The sequence below is a fragment of the Homo sapiens genome, chromosome 15 (assembly GCF_000001405.40).
Source record: "Homo sapiens chromosome 15, GRCh38.p14 Primary Assembly".
NCBI lineage: Eukaryota > Metazoa > Chordata > Mammalia > Primates > Hominidae > Homo > Homo sapiens.
The window spans coordinates 70988321-71008816 of NC_000015.10; the positions used below are offsets into that span (position 1 = coordinate 70988321).

General features: G+C 37.9%; 1 protein-coding gene across 5 annotated transcripts in view, besides 2 other annotated features; it reads left to right on the plus strand.

Annotated features, from left to right (window-relative positions):
• Window positions 1–20496, plus strand: part of LRRC49 (leucine rich repeat containing 49) — a 200281-nt gene that overhangs the window by 134943 nt on the left and 44842 nt on the right. For all 5 annotated transcript variants that reach the window (NM_001284357.2, NM_001199017.3, NM_001363732.2 and 2 more), the window contains one exon: window positions 20059–20296. In NM_001284357.2, the coding sequence (NP_001271286.1) occupies window positions 20059–20296 (238 nt within the window). The remainder of the gene's footprint in view (window positions 1–20058; window positions 20297–20496) is intronic.
• Window positions 1291–1791: an enhancer, noted in NCBI's record as "H3K4me1 hESC enhancer chr15:71281950-71282450 (GRCh37/hg19 assembly coordinates)". NCBI's record gives its function as "activates a minimal SCP1, AML or CMV promoter by ChIP-STARR-seq in naive H9 embryonic stem cells {active_cell/tissue: H9 hESC(naive)}" and the evidence as "EXISTENCE:reporter gene assay evidence [ECO:0000049][PMID:30033119]".
• Window positions 1792–2292: an enhancer, noted in NCBI's record as "H3K4me1 hESC enhancer chr15:71282451-71282951 (GRCh37/hg19 assembly coordinates)". NCBI's record gives its function as "activates a minimal SCP1, AML or CMV promoter by ChIP-STARR-seq in naive H9 embryonic stem cells {active_cell/tissue: H9 hESC(naive)}" and the evidence as "EXISTENCE:reporter gene assay evidence [ECO:0000049][PMID:30033119]".

Here is a 20496-nt window from a genome sequence, read left to right on the forward strand (position 1 = left end):
TGTATTGGGTGCATATATATTTAGGATAGTTAGCTCTTCTTGTTGAATTGATCCCTTTACCATTATGTAATGGCCTTCTTTGTCTCTTTTGATCTTTGTTGGTTTAAAGTCTGTTTTATCAGAGACTAGGATTGCAACCCCTGCCTTTTTTTGTTTTCTATTTGCTTGGTAGATCTTCCTCCATCTTTTTATTTTGAGCCTATGTGTGTCTCTGCATGTGAGATGGGTTTCCTGAATACAGCACACTGATGGGTCTTGACTCTTTATCCAGTTTGCCAGTCTGTGTCTTTTAATTGGAGCATTTAGTCCATTTACATTTAAAGTTAATATTGTTATGTGTGAATTTGATCCTGTCATTATGATGTTAGCTGGTTATTTTGCTCATTAGTTGATGCAGTTTCTTCCTAGTCTCGATGGCCTTTACAATTTGGCATGATTTTGCAGTGGCTGGTACCGGTTGTTCCTTTCCATGTTTAGTGCTTCCTTCAGGAGCTCTTTTAGGGCAGGCCTGGTGGTGACAAAATCTCTCAGCATTTGCTTGTCTGTAAAGTATTTTATTTCTCCTTCACTTATGAAGCTTAGTTTGGCTGTATATGAAATTCTGGGTTGAAAATTCTTTTCTTTAAGAATGTTGAATATTGACCCCCACTCTCTTCTGGCTTGTAGAGTTTCTGCTGAGAGATCTGCTGTTAGTCTGATGGGCTTCCCTTTGTGGGTAACCTGACCTTTCTCTCTGGCTGTGCTTAACATTTTTTCCTTCATTTCAACTTTGGTGAATCTAACAATTATGTGTCTTGGAGTTGCTCTTCTCGAGGAGTATCTTTGTGGCATTCTCTGTATTTCCTGAATCTGAATGTTGGCCTGCCTTGCTGGATTGGGAAAGTTCTCCTGGATAATATCCTGCAGAGTGTTTTCCAACTTGGTTCCATTCTCCCCATCACTTTCAGGTACACCAATCAGACGTAGATTTGGTCTTTTCATATAGTCCCATAGTTCTTGGAGGCTTTGTTCGTTTCTATTCTTTTTTTTCTAAACTTCCCTTCTTGCTTCATTTCATTCATTTCATCTTCCATCACTGATATCCTTTCTTCCAGTTGATCGCATCGGCTCCTGAGGCTTCTGCATTCTTCACGTAGTTCTCGAGCCTTGGCTTTCAGCTCCATCAGCTCCTTTCAGCACTTCTCTGTATTGGTTATTCTAGTTATACATTCGTCTAAATTTTTTTCAGTTTTCAACTTCTTTGCCTTTGGTTTGAATTTCCTCCTGTAGCTCGGAGTAGTTTGATCATCTGAAGCCTTCTTCTTTCAACTCGTCAAAGTCATTCTCCGTCCAGCTTTGTTCCATTGCTGGTGAGGAGCTGTGTTACTTTGGAGGAGGAGAGGCGCTCTGCTTTTTAGAGTTTCCAGTTTTTCTGCTCTGTTTTTTCCCCATCTTTGTGGTTTTGTCTACTTTTGGTCTTTGATGATGGTGATGTACAGATGGGTTTTTGGTGTGGATGTCCTTTCTGTTTGTTAGTTTTCCTTCTAACAGACAGGACCCTCAGCTGCAGGTTTGTTGGAGTTTGCTAGAGGCCCACTCCAGACCCTGTTTGCCTGGGTACCAGCAGCGGTGGCGGCAGAACAGCGGATTTTTGTGAACCGCGAATGCTGCTGTCTGATCGTTCCTCTTGAAGTTTTGTCTCAGAGGAGTACCCGGCTGTGTGAGGTGTCATTCTGCCCCTACTGGGGGGTGCCTCCCAGTTAGGCTGCTCGGGGGTCAGGGGTCAGGGACCCACTTGAGGAGGCAGTCTGCCCGTTCTCAGATCTCCAGCTGCGTGCTGGGAGAACCACTGCTGTCTTCAAAGCTGTCAGATAGGGACATTTAAGTCTGCGGAGGTTACTGCTGTCTTTTTGTTTGTCTGTGCCCTGCCCCCAGAGGTGGAGCCTACAGAGGCAGGCAGGCCTCCTTGAGCTGTGGTGGGCTCCACTCAGTTGGAGCTTCCTGGCTGCTGTGTTTACCTAAGCAAGCCTGGGCAATGGCAGGCTCCCCTCCCCCAGCCTCGCTGCTGCCTTGCAGTTTGATCTCAGACTGCTGTGCTAGCAATCAGTGAGACTCCGTGGGCATAGGACCCTCCGAGCCAGGTGCGGGATATAATCTCCTGGTGCGCCGTTTTTTAAGCCCATCGGAAAAGCACAGTATTGGGGTGGGAGTGACCCAATTTTCCAGGTGCCATCTGTCACCGCTTTCTTTGACTAGGAAAGGGAACTCCCTGACCCCTTGCACTTCCCAAGTGAGGCAATGCCTCACCCTGCTTCGGCTCATGCATGGTGCGCTGCACCCACTGTCCTGCGCCCACTGTCTGGCACTCCCTAGTGAGATGAACCCAGTACCTCAGATGGAAATGCAGAAATCACCCGTCTTCTGCGTCACTCACGCTGGGAGCTGTAGACCGGAGCTGTTCCTATTCGGCCATCTTGGCTCCAGCCAGAACCTTTCTTATAGGGATAGTGTTTTTCTGCCCTAACACCAATCACTTCCCTGCACTATTTCTCTGATCCCGCCCTAGCTAACTTCAGCAAACCCACAGAGGTCTGAAGTTTAAACTTCACATGTTCCAAAAAAGCCTTCCCTAACTCCAAGTTGGTAGGTAGTTGTTTCATGTGTGTCTTCCCCATTAGAATGTAAGCTTCATGAGGAAAGGAATCCTGCTTGATTGACTTGACTCCTGCTGTGTCCTCAGCAGCCAGCACAAAACCTTCCTCTTTAACTACTGGTAGTAAGCAATTGGGCATATAATCTGAAAGTTACTCCAGCTGTGATCTATACTATCTGTCTATTCCAGTGGCTCACAACCTCTTTTCTTCTATGATACATTTATCACATGATAATATATCCCTAGGTTTATGAGCAATGCTGAATGCATTATCTAGACTCCACATGTTTCTCTTCCTCTTAGAAAAGCATATTGGAATCAAGTAAATTCAGAGGGACATAAAGCATTTATATCTTTATAGTGCATGTATAATTTAAATATATATTTGTACAGCTGTCCCTCAGTATCCACAGGGGATTGGTTCCCTGCAAATACCCAAATCTGCAGATACTCAATTCCCTTATATAAAATGGGATAGTATTTGCATATAACCTATATTCTTCCTGCCATATACTTGAAATCATCTCTGGATTACTTAAATAGTATTTAATACAGTGCCTACACATCACTCCATTTGCATGGATTTGGTATAGTACTCAGCATGTGGCAAGTTCAAGTTTTGCTTTTGGAACTTTGTGGAATTTTTTTCGGATATTTTTGATCCATTTGGTTTAATCTATGGATGCAGAACCCACTGATACTGAGGGCTGACTATATTTACATAATTTTAAAATAAAGCCTAAAAATCAAAGATAGAATACATTTTAGTTTTGTTTAATTTGATGAAGCATATGTGTCTTATTACCTTAACTAAACTCTGAAACACCTTTTAAAACTAAATATAATATAGCTTTTACTTCAGGTTTTTAGCTGGAATTCTTTAAGCCTTTCATATGCAAAAAATATATAGTAAAGGAAGTAATTTGAGTGACATGAGAATAATGTTTTGGAAATTGTCTGTAGTTAGAGTCTAACATATATTTAGGCAAATATGCTTTTTAAATTTTAGTTATAGAATTAACTTATATCAGTGTATTTCCTTCAGCTCACTTGGGATCCACATGTAGACCTTGTCAGCTCTTTCAGCTACAAAAATAAATCAAGAATAAAAATTCAATCACTGATACCCTTGCTTCCAGTTGATTGAATTGGCTGCTGAAGCTTGTGCATTCATCACATAGTTCCCGTGCCATGGTTTTCAGCTCCATCAGGTCATTTAAGGACTTCTCTACACTGGTTATTCTAGTTAGCTATTTGTCTAATCTTTTCTCAAGGTTTTTAGCTTGTTTGCAATGGGTTCGAACTTCCTCCATTAGCTCGGAGAAGTTTGATCGTCTGAAGCCTTCTTCTCTCAACTCGTCAGTCATTCTCCGTCCAGCTTTGTTCCGTTGCTGGCGAGGAGCTGCGTTCCTTTGGAGGGGGAGAGGCGCTCTGATTTTTAGAATTTTCAGCTTTTCTGCTCTGTTTTTTCCCCATCTTTGTGGTTTTATCCAACTTTGGTCTTTGATGATGGTGACGTACAGATGGGGTTTTGGTGTGGATGTCCTTTCCGTTTGTTAGTTTTCCTTCTAACAGTCAGGACCCTCAGCTGTAGGTCTGTTGGAGTTTGCTGGAGGTCCACTCCAGACCTTGTTTGCCCAGGTATCAGCAGCAGAGGCTGCAGAACAGCAAATATTGCTGAACAGCAAATGTCCACTCCAGACCTTGTTTGCCTGGGTATCAGCAGCAGAGGCTGCAGAACAGCGAATATTGCTCAACAGAAAATGTTGCTGTCTGATTGTTCCTCTGGAGGTTTCGTCTCAGAGGGGTACCTGGCTGTGTGAGGTGTCAGTCTGCCCCTACTCGGGGGTGCCTCCCAGTTAGGCTACTCGGGGGTCAGGGACCCACTTAAGGAGGCAGTCTGTCTGTTCTCAGATCTCAAACTCCATACTGGGAGAACCTCTACTCTTCAAAGCTGTCAGACAGGGACATTTAAGTCTGCAGAGGTTTCTGCCGCATTTTGTTCAGCTATGCCCTGCCTGCAGAGGTGGAGTCTACAGAGGCAGGCAGGCCTCCTTGAGCTGCGGTGGGTTCCACCCAGCTCGAGCTTGCTGGCTGCTTTGTTTACCTACTCAAGCCTCAGCAATGGTGGGTGCCCCTCCGCAAGCCTCGCTGCCACCTTGCAGTTAGATCTCAGACTGCCATGCTAGCAATGAGCGAGGCTCTGTGGACGTAGGAACCCTCCTAGCCATGTGCGGGATATAATCTCCTGGTGTGCCATTTGTTAAGACCGTTGGAAAAGTGCTGTATTAGGGTGGGAGTGACCTGATTTTCCAGGTGCCGTCTGTCACAGCTTCCCTTGGCTAGGAAAGGGAATTCCCTGACCCTTTGCCCTTCCCAGGTGAGGTGATGCCTCACCCTGCTTTGGCTCACGCTTGGTGGGCTGCACTCACTGTCCTGCACCCACTGTCCAACAAGCCCCAGTAAGATGAACCCAGTACCTCAGTTGGAAATGCAGAAATCACCTGTCTTCTGCACTCACGCTGGGAGCTGTAGACTGGAGCTGTTCCTATTCGACCATCTTGGAACTGCCTGGCCTAGTGTCAAGAATAAAAATTCTAATGAAGTGACAATTTATGTAACTAATATACCACTCTTATATAGCCCTAGAGCTATATTTAATATTATTTAAATGGCAAAATATAATTTTACTTGGTTAGAACTATAATACTTTATAATGTTAAAACTTTATAGCATTGGGCTTTAGATTTATGAAATAATACAGGTCAGTTCTATTTCTAATTTCTTTTTTAAAAATTATTTTTCAGTTTCAAGTTTATCCAAGTAATATGGAATTTAATATTCTAAAATTATAATAAGGTTTTAGAAGTTAGTCCTTCAATCCGTCAAATTTTTTTCTTTCTTCTTTTGGAGATGGAGTCTCGCTGTGTCTCCCAGGCTGGAGGGCAGTGGTGCGATGTTGGCTCACGGCAACCTTTGCCTCCCAGGTTCAAGTGATGCTCCTGCCTCAGCCTCTTGAGTAGCTGGGATTTTCCAGGTGCCCACCACCACACCTGGCTAATTTTTGTATTTTTAAAAGAGGCAGGGTTTCACCATGTTGGCCAGGCTGGTCTCGAACTCCTGATCTCAAGTGATCCTCCTGCCTCGGCTTCCCAAACTGCTAGGATTACAGGCTTGAGCCACCGCACATGGCCTCAAACTTATTTTTATACACAATGTTAGATAAGGGTCTAACTTGATTTTATTTCAATTGACTAGTCAATTTGCTAATAACCTTTTAAAAATTAAACTTCTTTTTTCATGAGAATGCCATCTTTATCTCATGTTAAGATTTTGTAAATATGTGCACATATTTCTGGACTATCCATTTCACTTATCTGTTTTAATGCCAACACCAGACTCTTTTGATTATAGTAATTTTGTAGTAAGTTTTCACAACTTGTAGGGGAAATAGGTTTCCACTGTTCTTTTCAAGTTTCAATTGTCACACACCTATTCTTCCATATGAGCTTTATTTATTTATTTATTTATTTATTTATTGAGACAGGGCCTCACTCTGTCTCCCAGGCTGAAGTGCGGTGGCATGATCTCGGCTCACTGCAACCTCCGCCTCCCAGGCTTGAGCAGTCCTCCCACCTCAGCCTTCCAAATAGCTTGGACAATAGGTGCACACCTCTATGTCCAGCTAATTTTTGTATTTTTTGTAGAGATGGAGTTTTGCCATGTTGCCCAGGCTGGTCTTGAACTCTTAGGCTCAAGTGATCTGCCTGCCTTGACCTCCCAAAGTGCTGGGATTACAGGCATGAGCCACTGTGCCCAGCCTCATGTGAACTTTAAAATCAGTTTACCTAAATAGAAAAGAAATGATGAGAATCTTGTTCAAATCACATTTAAGTTTACTTATTAATTTCAGAAGAATTAACATTGTTATGACAGTAACGTCACTTTAAGAAACAGGTCTCGTTTGATATCCAGAGGGAGCTAACTGGGAAAATGTTGAAAGATTGAAGGAAAATTCTGAGGAACTAAATGAGGTTAGAGACCATGAAATTATAGCAACTTTAGCCTGAATGGTTGAGTGAGTTTATTCCAAGATCGCAGAGTAGCTAAGTATAACAGAAGAGAAGCTAAATGTCTGAAAAAGAACAAAGAGACAAGGGATCAAAGGCAAGGAATTAAAAAATTCAAGTGTGATGACAAAGGAAAAGATAGAAATGATGGGTCAGATAGTCTAGGCGAGATTTTTAAAGAATTAAAAACCAGAAGGTTTGCAACAGATTGGAAGAAAATTTTGTTTCTGGGACTGTAAGTCTAATTAAAGTTGCAAATGAGGAGCATATAAAGTAAGAGCATTAATAATGAGCTGGAATAGTGGGAATTTATGGTCAAAGTAAGTTTTTGAGGTTAAATATTTTAGAGGTAGAACACATTTAAGTAATGAAATCTAAGCAATATGGAAGCCATTGTTGTGGTTATCAGAGTGGATTGTTGGAAAAGAGTAAAAGCAAAAGGTCACCAGAAGAGAGATCCGTTGAAGCCATTATTATAGATATTGAAGTTACTGATGGTAGAACAAGGTATGCTACCAGAGGCCGTACATCCTGTTCTCTTGTGATAGGGCTATTCACTGTATAAGTTTTACTAGTTTTGGCAGCTTCAGTGAATGCAGGAGTATCTTTTTTATTAAATGACTCTTTTATCTGGCAAAACTACCTCTGATCAGTGGATTGCAGACTATTAACGTGACTTTCATGACATTTTGAACTTTTAAAGTGGCATATGGCCAAACATTTTATGACCCTCTAAAATAACTTAAAATCATAGCGTCTTTATGGTCTCAAAACAAGCAAGCTGTTCCAAGAGAAAGAGGAAGTATCTGTTAGTGAAAATTGTTGTGCCTTATGCTTACTGCCAAGAGTTTCAGAATTTTTATTAGGAGTTCCACAAAGTCGTTAGCTTTTAAGAAGGGAGCATAGAGAAAGAGTTTGGGAGAGATGGGAGAAGTGATGTGGGGGGTTCAATGGAGAGGATGTAAAAAGTAATGATGAATAATTAGGAAAGGGATCCACAATTTCTGGCAAAAGATTTACTTTCTACAAATGTATGTTTAAAGTGTCATGGAAACACTATTACATTCTCTTAGTTTGATTCTTTTTTTAATGACCGGAAAACTAGCAAGTTGAGTAGCCACAGAAGATATTTATATATGAAGGTAGAAAAATAAAATTTTAGGGATAAATAGTATATAACTGGTAGAGATTATAATGCAAAATCAGTTACTTATAACTTCTACTGGTTGTAGATTTTTCTTCAGTTTATTTTGTAGTTATCTGATTCCTTTAAAATCTCCTAGAACTGAAATTTAGAGATATTTCTAAAAGAACTTTTTATACCTTGCATTTTATCTAAACAAGGAACTCTTAACCAGTGCATTCAGTTTGGCTTCTTGAATTTTAAGTCCTTATTTTACTTGACCTCCTTACAGCATTTGACGTAGTTGAAACTCCTCATTCACCTGATTTTCCTTTTATGTATGTGGCTACTCTCTCTTTTTTTTAAGTGGTATCTTACTGGCTCCTTCTCTACCAAATCTTTAAATGTATATTATGCAGTTTTTTAAATTTGTAAGATTTAGATATACTACTTGCTAAAATAGATGAAGATTCAGCTCCCTCACCTCTTTTCCTCCCAAAACTATATATCTATAGTTGCTTTATTGGTAGCTTTTGTAATGTGTATCTAAATCTCTGTTTTTTTGTTTCATCCACTATAGGCAATAGGCCTCAAGTCTGCATTTGCAAGATGAGTCTATCCTTTTTATTTTTCCCACTTTGTACATTGCAACTTCTATCAGCTACACTTTTGTAATTTCCCTTGTGATTTCTTCTTTTTCCAGTGTTTGTTTAAGACTGCAGTGTTTAATTTGTGAATTTACCAGATTTGTTCATTGTGGTCAGAGAAGACATTTTGTAGAATTTAATCTTTTTAGATTGATTGAGACTTGCTTTATGGCTGAACATATGGTCTATCCCAGAGAATTTTCCATGCGTACTTGAGAAGAATATGTATTCTGTTGCTGGGTGGGGTTTTCTATATATGTCTGCTAGTTGGTTTTATAGTGTACTTCAAGTCCTCTTTACTTGCTGATCTTCTGTCTGGTTGTTCTATCCATTATTGAAGGTAGGGTATTGAAGTCTCCAACTATTATTGTAGAACTGTTTCTTCTTTCAACTTTGTCCATTTTGCTTCATGTATTTTAGATGTTAAGTGCATATACCTTTATAATTGTTGTACCTTCCTTATGGATTAACCAATTTTTCAATATAAAATGTTCTTCCTTGACTCTCATAAAAATATTTGATATAAAATCTATTTAACGTAATATTAGTAGCTACTCTGGCTCTCTTTTGGTTACTGTTTGCATGGAATATCTGTTTCTATTCTTTCCATTTCATTCTATTTGTGTCTTTTAATCCTGTAGAAAGCATATACTTGGAGCTTTAAAAAAAAAATCCTGGCTGGGAGTGGTGGTTCACACCTGTAATCCTAGCACTTTGGGAGGCTGAGGCGGGTGGATAACCTGAGGTCAAGAGTTTGAGACCATCCTGGCCAACATGGCGAAACCCCGTCTCTACTAAAAATATGAAAATTAGCCAAGCGTGGTGGTGCATGCCTGTAATGCCAGCTACTCAGGAGGCTGAGGCAGGAGAATCACTTGAACCCAGGAGGTGGAGGTTGCAGTGAGCCAAGATTGTGCCATTGCACTCCAGCCTGGGCGACAGAGCATGACTCCATCTTGAAAAAAAGAAAATCCTTTCTGCTAATTTCTGCCTTTTAATTTGGGTAGTTTAATCTTTGAAGTCCTGATAAGGAAGGACACACATCTACCATTTTGTTACTTGCTTTCTATCTGTTGTATATCCTTTTTTGGCTCCTCAATTCTTTTATTGCTTTCTTCTTTTGTATTTAACTGATTTTCTTAGTGTACCGTTTTTGATCCCTTTCTTGTTCCTTTTACCATACATTTTCTAGCTATTTTCTTAGTTGTTACCCTGGGGATTACAATTAACATTTTAATTTAGCTAGTTAGAATTAATACCAACCTAGTTGTAATAGTATATAAGAACTTTGCTTCTGTTTAACTCTACTCCCTTTTCTGTTACTATTTTCAGAAATTACGTCTTTAAACATTGTGTGCACATTATAGATTTATAATTAATTTTATACATTTTTCTTCTAAATCATATATTAAAAAGAGGAATTACCACCTTAAAAATTCAGTAATACTGGCTTTTATTATGCACCTGTGTAATTACCTTTCTTGATGTTATTTCTTCGTATGACTTCAAGTTACCAACTAGTGTTCTTTAATTTCCAGAGAATTTCCTTTAGCATTTCCTGTAGGTCAGGTATACTAGTAATAAATTCCCTCAGCTTTTGTTTATCAGGGAATGTCTTAATTTATCTCTTATTTGTGAAGTCCAGTTTTGCCATATATAATTTTGGGTTGACAGGTTTTTTTTTTCTTTCAGCACTTTAAATATATCATCCACTACTTTGTGGTCTCCATGATTTCTGATGAGAAATCAGCTGTTTTTCTTAGTGAGGATCCCTTGTCCATTATGAGTAACTTCTCTCTCACTACTTTCAAGATTGTCTCTTTATTTTTGTCTTTCAGTAGTTTGATTATAATGTGTCTTGGTGTGGATCTATGAGTTTATCCTAGTCAGAGTTCATTGAGCCTCTTGGATATGTTGTTTTATGTCTTTTATCAAATTTGGGAAGTTTCTGGCCATTGTTTTTTCAAATATTCTTTCTGCTTTTTTTTTTCTCTCATGTCTGTGCTTCCGAAACTCCCATTATGTTTATATTGGTATGCTGGATAGTGTCCCACAGTTTTCCTGGTTCTGTTCATTTATCTTTATTCTTTATTTAACCTCACTCCTCAGACTACATAATTTAATTGACCTATCTAAGTTTACTGATTCTTTCTTCTGCCTGCTAAAATCTGCTGTTGAAACCCTCTAGAGAGCTTTTCAGTTATTGTACTTTTCAACTCCAGAATTTCTATTTGATTCCTTTTTAATTTCCATTTCTTTATTGATATTCTTTATTTGGTGAGACATCATTCTCCTGGTTTTCCTTAGTTATTTCAGCATATTTAAAATAGTTGACTTAAAAGTTTTTGTCTAGTAAGTCCAATGCCTGGGCTTCCTCAGGGACAGTTTCTGTTCATTTCTGTTTTTCCTGTGAGTGGGTTAGTCTTTCTTGTTTCTTTGTATGCATCATATTTTTTGTTGAAACTGGACATTTATGTGACAACTCTGGAGATCAGATCATTCTTCCCCCCTAGGGTTTGTTGTTGCTGCTTGTTTTGATTGTTGTCTTCTATTTTTTTAATGACTTTCCTAATTATTTCTGTGAAGACTGTATTATTTAGCATGTGTACCCACTGAAATCTCTGTTCTTTTAGCTTAGTGGTCAGTTAGTGATTTTCAGAGATTTTCTTAAATGCCTGGAGAAAAAAGGAAAAAATAAACCTCTCCCAGACTCTATCGATTGGTTCTGTTTTGAGGCACTCTTTCACTGCTTATCTAGGCAGTTTACCACTCTGCCTTAACCTTCATTCCTGCTTGTGTGGAACCTGAAGATCAGCCAGGGGTTAGGGTTAGGGTTAAGGTTAGTGTCTTCTCAGGTCTTTTCCAAACATGTGTCTGACCCTGGACATATATGTGGCCTTTTAGATTCCCTGGACTCACAGGAGCTTCTCAAAACTCTATTCTCCCAGACATCTCTTTCCCTAGCCTCTTCCTTCTCAGCCTTTTTGGTCTGTCTGTTGCTTGCTGCAGCTACTATCCTTTGTCCAATGTGGTGGCAGCTAATACATTTTTGCCTTTAACTACTTTCAACAAATGCCACTTAGAAGCCACCTCAGCCCTAGGGAAGCTCCAGGGCAAGTGATACAAAGGCAAGCCCTTGAGCTAATCCTTCAGAGAGCCACCAAACATGTCAAAACACACAACTACAACTTTTTGAGAATATGGTCTGCATTGCTTCCTCTGTTGCCAGCAATCTGCACCAGGAATGTGGGCTGTTCAACTTCAAGGCCACCACCAAGCTGGGGAGTGGGGAATGGTAACAGGGTAAGTTAAGATGCTTCAGAACTCTCTTATTGAAATTCAGCAGTTTTTCTTTTCTTCATTAAGTGTTTCCCTGGTTTTGTAATTTATTAGATTCCAGATTTCTGAAAAAGTTGATTTTGTTTTTGGGGTTTTTTTGTTCCTAGCATATTTGTTGCTTTTGTGGAGGGATGGAGTGTTTCGGAGTTCCCTACTCTAGCATTTTTGCTCTCTCTTTGGGATTCCAATTTGGCTTTATTCTATGAGTTATACTTTTAAATTTCAAGATTAATGTCATTTATATCTGTTCTATAATCATAAAACTTTGTCAGTTGGTAGGATTTAAAACTTGAAAACTGGTAAACAGTATTTAAGTCTCTATAATATAACAATTTTTTACTTTACAGTAAAGAATTAAGCTATGTTTGTCTCCTTTTCCGCTTCCTAAGCCACTCCAAGAATAGTCATAGCATCAAATTCAAATGGACCCCTCTTCATTATACCTTAAAAGTTGTCCAAACCCATGCCACATTTTAGTTTGCCCCATATTTGAGCCATGCCTTTCATATATAGTTTGTTTTTTTCTGGAGTTTCTGATTGCCTTTTTAAAAAATTGAACAAAGAAATTTACTGCTGTTTCTACATTTCTGACTTCTAGAATCTACTCTTTTTGAAGCCTGTCTCCGTGATCTAATTTAGACTCATCATTTGCTTTTGGGCCATTCTTTATAGTTTATTATTTTATATCATATTATTAGTAGCCTTTGATTTTTTTCTTGTATTATGTGTCTTTCTCATATCTTCAAGTATTTCTGTCCTCTCAACCTCTCGATGGTAGAGTTCTTCGGATTTTGGTCCTGGGCTCTGTTTACACTCTCTGCTTTCCTCCTAGGCAGTCTCGTACATGCCTTTGACTTTAAATACTATTTATATACTGAAGACACAAAAATATATACCTGTTCCTTTATGGTTTACCCACTTAGATTGTGTTTAGGAAAACAAGTCCTTTACCACATTGAGATTTTAAAAACATTCTCCCATTTTGTCTTCCTAAAGTTTTAACATTTGGCCTTTTTTATTTAAATTTTTATTATACCTGTAATTGATTTTTATATTTGAGGTTAAGTTCTGATTTGGGTGGGGAGGGGTTTTCCTTCCATAGGAATAATCAGTTACCCTAGTGCTATTTATTGAGTGTTCTTTCCTTTCTCATTGAACTGCAATGCCACTCTGTGAGACTTTTGTTGGCAGTGAGAGAAGTAGGTGGGAGAGACCTTTTGCAGATCTTCAATTAATGCCCCTGTGTTCAGTCTCACTTCTCATTCCCATCCTCCATCATACTTACTGTTAGTTGCTTTCCAGAGTTCCACTGAGCAATTTGGCTGCCATCTTTTTCTTATTTCCAGTGCATATTTGAGAACACAGCCCTTTTTTATCCTTCTTCATCACTTAACACTTTTTCTTTCTAGCTTCCAGAAATTTTCTGAAATCTCCTGCTGCCAATAGTCTTCCCCTACTGCACTTGTTGTTGTTGTGGGTTTATGTCTTTTTCATTACTTTACTATTCTTCAATGGGGTCTTGGAGGGAGAGCTTTTAAACACATGTGCTTAGTCTATCTGCTATTTTTTTTTTTGTGAGACGGAGTCTCACGCTCTGTCCCCCAGGCTGGAGTGCAGTGGCACAATCTCGGCTCACTGCAACCTCTGCCTCCCAGGTTCACACCATTCTCCTGCCTCAGCCTCCTGAGTAGCTGGGACTACAGGTGCCCGCCACCACGCCCGGTTAATTTTTTGTATTTTTAGTAGAGACAGGGTTTCACCTTGTTAGCCAGGATGGTCTCAATCTCCTGACCTTGTGATCCGCCCACCTCGGCCTCCCAAAGTGCTGGGATTACAGGCGTGAGCCACCGTGCCCGGCTGTCTATCTGCTATTTTTATCTGAAAGTACAAAGTGAAGAATTTTAAACATTAGAGGTTATATTTCTACATTTTCTGTAAGTCTTCAAAAAGATAATTAAATTTTATCATTTGGGACCCTGAATGATACAATTTAACTATTTCTGAACATAAAAAGCTAGTCAGAGGGCCGCAAAGTTTCTTACCTAGTGTTTCGATTTGTTTTTTAATACTGCATAGGGTTTTCCATTTTTAATAATCATTTATATTTATAGTCTTTAGTATTTCATAATGCCAAAAAAGTGGATATTTCTTGGGTTACAATGTCTATAACCTTTGGCTTATGGGGGGGGCGTGTAACTAAATGCCTGGAAACAAGTCTCTATGAAAAAATTATAGACACAAAAAGGGAAGAAATTCTCTAAAACTTTGCTATATCCCACTAATGATTTCACTATTCACTGTACTTGGGACAGCTCTACAGTAAAATGACATATTGCAGGTTTCTTTTCTCTGGCAGAAATTGGAAAGTACTTGGTGTAATGTTTTTTTTTTGCTTACATTGGATGCATGCAGTGAAGCTGGGTTATTTTTGGTCATTTCCTGTCTATGAACACTGTGGTATTTTAGCCAACACTACTATAATAAAATATAATGCATACAATGAATTTTCACACCTATGAATGTTGTAATAGAAATTCATAAAATAAATTATTATAGGAATCAGCACCACTTATTCATTGGGAAAAGAATCTTCCGAAATATTTTAAGTCTTTCTGTTCAGGCCTGTTACGAAAAGCCTAAAGGTTAAAAAAACAATAATAATCCTCCTAAATAATGTCTCTTTTCATCTAGACATTTAAGAGTATGTTCTACATTTAGCTGGGCTTTCAGAGTCATTATTGCATTGAGCTAGTCACCCTGTCTTTTCTTAGGGTCCTTTATTGAAAAGGCATAGGATATTTTCTGGCCTTTTTTTTTTTTTTTTTTTTTTTTTTGAGACAGAGTTTTTGAGGCTGGAGCGCAATGGTGCAATCTCAGCCCACCGCAACCTCTGCCTCCCAGGTTCAAGCAATTCTCCTGCCTCAGCCTCCCGAGTAGCTGGGATTACAGGCATGCACCACCATGCCCAGCTAATTTTGTATTTTTAGTAGAGATGGGGTTTCATCATATTGACCAGGCTGATCTCTAACTCCTGACCTTGTGATCCACCCACCTCGGCCTCCCAGAGTGCTGGGATTACAGGCATGAGCCACTGTGCCCAGCCTCCTGACTTATTCTTATGTAAAGATCAAGTTGAATTGATGAAACTTTGGACTTAAATTAACCACTAAAAATCTTGAAGAGAATTCATATTTGATTTCATTCTGCCTGCTGTTATATAATTAATATTTCAGTTGGAGAATATAATTGGAAATGTATTGGACTTTATGGGAAAACACATTTTAAACAGATCCTCCAGAGAAGAATACCAGCTTTCTTAGAGTACAGATTTAGACTAGACAGAGGTAGGAAACTGGGTCAGATGACCAGTTACCCACTCTAGAAATCTGACTCACACTTAATTCCACCCTTTCCTTCATTCTCCAGTCAACCACTAAGTCTTACTTTTATTTATTCTTGAATGTCTGATAAATCTGTGTTCTCTTTTATTAATAATAATCATGAAAATGTACTGAGCTAAGTATGAGGCATAGTTTAGAATATTTTTTTCTAATCTTCACAACAACTCTGAAAATATATGTATTATGATAATCATTTACATACAAGCAAACTGAAACTCAAAGAATTGAATAACTTGCCCCAGAAGTCATCAGTTACCAATGGCAGATCTGGAATTTGAACTAAAGTCTATCTCACTTTCTTGCCATTGCCATTTTGACTACACCATACCCTTTTTTGTTATGCCAGCATATGGTCTAGTTGACACTTTTGCAATGGTCTCTTACTCATCCCCTACATTCAGCCTCTCCCTACTATGTCCTCCACAAAGTTGATTGACTTATCTGTCTGAAGTGGGGCTTTGAGAGCAGAGAGCATATCTTATTCATCTTTGTATCCCTAACACCAGTACCTAGATCCATGCATGATACTTTGGAGGTGCTTAAAAACTTGCATTGAATATAATCTCATCACTTTTTAAATTTAAAAACCTTTTTCTGCTTCTGAACCATGCAGGATAAAATCTGACTTTTCAGGCTCATCTCCAGCTCCTACTCCCCTCCATGTTTCAATGTTCCTGCCCTGTATTTTAGTGTTCCAGCCATAGAAATATTGTTCAACCCAGCAATCCCATTATTGAGTGTATACCCAAAGGAATATAAATTTCTCTAGTATAAAGACACATGCACATGTATGTTCATTGCAGCACTATTCACAATAGCAAAGATGTGGAATCAATCTAAATGCCCATCAGTGATATACTGGATAAAGAAAATGTGGGAGGCCGAGGCAGGCAGATCACTTGAGGTCAGGAGTTCGAGACCAGCCTGGCCAACATGGTGAAACCCCGTCTCTACTAAATATACAAAAATTAGCTGGGCAAGGTGGCATGTGCCTGTAATCCCAGCTACTCGGGAGGCTGAGACACAAGAATCTCTTGAATCCGGGAGGCGGAGGTTGCAGTGGGCTGAGATTGTGCCACTGCACTCCAGCCTGGGTGACAGAGTGAAACTGTGTTAAAAAAAAAAAAAAAAGAAAGAAAGAGAGAAAATGTGGTACATATACACCAAGGAATACTATGCAGCCATAAAAAAGAATGAGATCATGTTATTTTCAGGGACATGGATGGAGCTGGAGGCCATTATCATTAGCAAACTAACACAGAACAGAAAATCAAATACCGCATGCTCTTATTTATAAGCAGGAGCTAAATGATGAGAACACAGGGACACACTGAAGGGAAAGACACACCAGGGCCTATTGGATGGTAAAAGGTGGGAGGAGGAGGAAAAAATAACTAACGGGTACTAGGCTTAATATCTGGGTGATGAAGTAATCTGTAAAATAAACCCCCATGACACAGTTTGCCTGTGTTACAAACCTGTACATGTACCTCTGAACTTAAAATAAGAGTTAAAAAAAGAAATTATTCTTACATAAATATATTATACATAATCAGGTTTTATTTTCCATACAAAATAATGTCTGTGTCAGGTTTGCGCATGTGCCCCTGAACTTAAAGTAGTCATTCCTGCGCCCTTCTTCATTCTGTTTTCCCAACTTCTGCTCCTGATAAAAATCTGCTATTTATCTCTCAAGGATCAGTTCAAATCCAACCTTCCTTTTTAAAATTGACTTTTCCCCTCTGGAAGAATTAGTCATTCCTTTCTCTGTGTTCCCTTAGCATATGGTTTAAATATTCGTTATATCACAATAAGCACATTATATTATATTTAATATATATATTCATCTTCCTCTCCGCCCCACCCATCCAGATTGAGAGCTCTTTGAGGGCAAATATATCTTGATTTATTATATCCCCAATGCTTAACACAATATCTGACACATAATAAATTCTCCACAAAAACCTATTTGTTTAATGAGATATTGAGGTCATTTTAGTTTAGAAATTATATCCCATGTGTTTATTAGGTTGATTGCAGAGGAGGATTAGAGCAGTTATATTTCTGAAACTATGACCCAGTAAAAGTGAGCAATAATTTTGCTATATCCAGAAACCTTTGTATGATCTCAGTGTTGATTGTTCTTATCAATACAGATGATTTAGTGGCATGTGCCAGAATTCTTAGCACAGTGTTTTGTAGATAGTGGGCTTTGAGGACATGTTTGGTGAATGAAAGAAAGAAAGAATTAATTAGTTAATTAATTAATATGTGTGTATGTATAACTAAAAAGATGTACCCATATCTGCTAAGGATACAAGGAAAACTAGAAGAACAATCCCCAAAATATAAACATTGTTTGGCAAGCTAAGTCACTTTTTAATGGAGCTCAGAACACACTTTCCCAGAGGAGCAAATTTGTAAACATTGACCAGAGTTTAAGGCTAAACTCAAAAGCTTCCTTCAGAAAATAACTGAAATGGGTTAGGTGTTATATGGCCTGTTTACTAGGTGCTAGTGAAAAGGATGAGCCTGTCTGCAGCCCAGGAGACTTGCCGTTTGTTTTTACCAAATGGGCATGTGATAGCTATATAAATTGGAAATTACTTCTGCTTTGTTTTGTAACCATGTCACTGTTTTACTGAATGTAGCCTTGTTTATTATGTCACTTATTTCCTGAAGAGTTTACTTGACAAGCCCTTTACACAAAATAAATAATCCCTTTCTGATGACAGACTTTTTATTGTGGAGCTTATATTCTTAAACTTTTAATTATGTGGAAAAAGAAAAGCAAGACACTTTTAAATATATGATGTGGAGCAACATCATTTCCCAAAGGGTTTGTTGATGTTTTTGATACATAACTCTGATTCCCCATCATTTTTACATTAAACTTTTTTGCTGGTTACTGTGGCCATCAGGCGTCCCTATGTGGGTAAACCTTCTTGCTAAACCTGATTCTGTGTCTATATCACTGATTCTGCCCCTTTACTGAAACTATAGCTTATGGTTCAAACATCCTTCTTAAGATATAATACATACTCATTAAAAACTTCATCATTGTCCCACTTCATTAATTCATCCAAGAAATATGTATTGAGCAGAGCATAGGCTAGGAGCTGTACTAGATGTTGGATCTACTATAGTAATCGTGACAAAATTCAAGCCCTCAAGGATCACTGTGTTTAGTAAGAGAGATATAGATAAGGCAACAAGTAATTGCAGTACAATGTGGCAAGTATTGTAATAGCAGTATGCACTCTTTTCATCTTCTTTGTTTTAGTGGCAGTGAAGCTGTCCTTTGTTCTGTTCCAGTATTGATTATATAAGCAACCTCAATGAGATATAATCTAACTCAATGTATCACACAAAGCACAATGTATGGAACTAATTGTTAAGTTAGTTTTTCCTATTATCAGCCTTCACCTTTCTAAGATTATTATCTAAGACCATTCATGTACTACTACTCATTGGATATTTGATTTTTGTCACATAATAATCATTGTCTTAAGTGCTAGTCTGGTAGAAATCAAGCCTTTTTGTATTTTCTTGGTTGCATATTCACTTAAAGTAGACTGATGTCATTATTCATCTTGTTATTGAATAAACAAATGTGTAGAAGGTTAACTGGTACCTCTGAAATAAGTATGATAAACAACAGGGCAGCGCTTTCTTAGTTTTATCCCTTAACATCATTGTAAATGTTTGAAGATATTTAATAATTCATTCAGTATACATTGTTAAAAGCTGATTACTAGATTTTGGGTCCCCAAAGATGAAAAAATATATAATCTTTAGCCTCACTCACTATCTGGAATAACAGGCAAAATTGTAAGCATAAAATTGTAATATAGTTATGAGAAGTGTGTTCCAGGAGTATACCAAAGACCATGGGAGCACAAATAAGAGCGAGACACTAATTTTAGTAGGGGCAAATAAATACTGGATGAAAGGAGAAATCCCAGAAGGAAAATGCAGAAACAAAAACCATGCTTTGTTTAAGTTTTGAGGTTGGGTAAAACAAATAGTTATGTCTCTATTCACAAAGCAGATAATATGAGTTGGATTAAGATATTTCATTTATTCTCTAGCTATGATTTAGATAGCCTTATATAAAAAATGTGGCTTCTACCTTGGAAATAATAATTACCAAATTCAGTGCAGTATGAGAAGCATGTATATATATATATATATATATATATATATATAGTGTGTATATATAATATAAATAATGATTCCTTTTCACTGTTTCTTATTTCAAAGTGAGGAGGAAATCTACACTGATTTTACTGATTATAACTGTAGTATACACTTTAAAAATTTCAAAAACCATTGAAGTATCCAAAAGTAGAAAGTTAGAGTTACCCCCTAATACAACCTCTGAGAAATAAACTATTTTTAGCAGTTATTACTTGGTTCATAAACATATTTTTATATGTATGGTTCTTACTATAGAAATACTAATTTGTAAACTGTACTTTTTTCTAGTCAGAAAAGTTTATAGATTGGGAAAACCTATCTGTGTTGACATGGAAAGATAACCATAATGTAGTAAACGGCTTGTTTTAAAACTAAAGGGAATATTAGTTATCTTTCATGGATAGAAATAATTTGGGTTTAGAGGTGATCTTTTTTGTTCATAACATGCCTCTTAAATTAAAATATATGATTAGAATAATACAAAACTGCTAGATAGTCTATTGAAAATTAGTCTTTAATGCTCTAGGTTTAATTACTGAAATGAAAAAAGAATATAAAATTGTGAAGAGCTTTTCTGACAGGTCATTATACTGTTAGGTATTCTGCATGATATCTTTCATTTAAAATTATACTTTGGGTTTTCCAGGCCTCTAGACTCAGGACTCAACAATGCTTTACAAGGTTTATCTGTCATAGACACATACCTTGTTGAAGTGGACGGGGATACACTTTCCCTATATGGCTCAGGAGCACTGGAATCTCTGGATAGGAATTGGAGTGTTCAAACAGCAGGAATGATCACAACAGTCTCCTTCACTTTCATAGAATTTGATGAAATCGTCCAAGTGCTTCCTAAACTGAAGATTAAGTTTCCTAATTCTCTGGTAAATATTTCCTTTTAGTAGTATATTTGAATATTCTTAGTCAATGACTTGTGTGTTCAGGCCAAAGACCTGTTTTAACTTGTATTTATGTAGTTTCTATCTGGCAGGAAGATTTAAGTTTTGTGTTGATTTTCTTGAGCTAGGATTTAAATTAGTATTCATAAATGGCCTTGAAGTTTTATGTTAACATTTGAAATTCT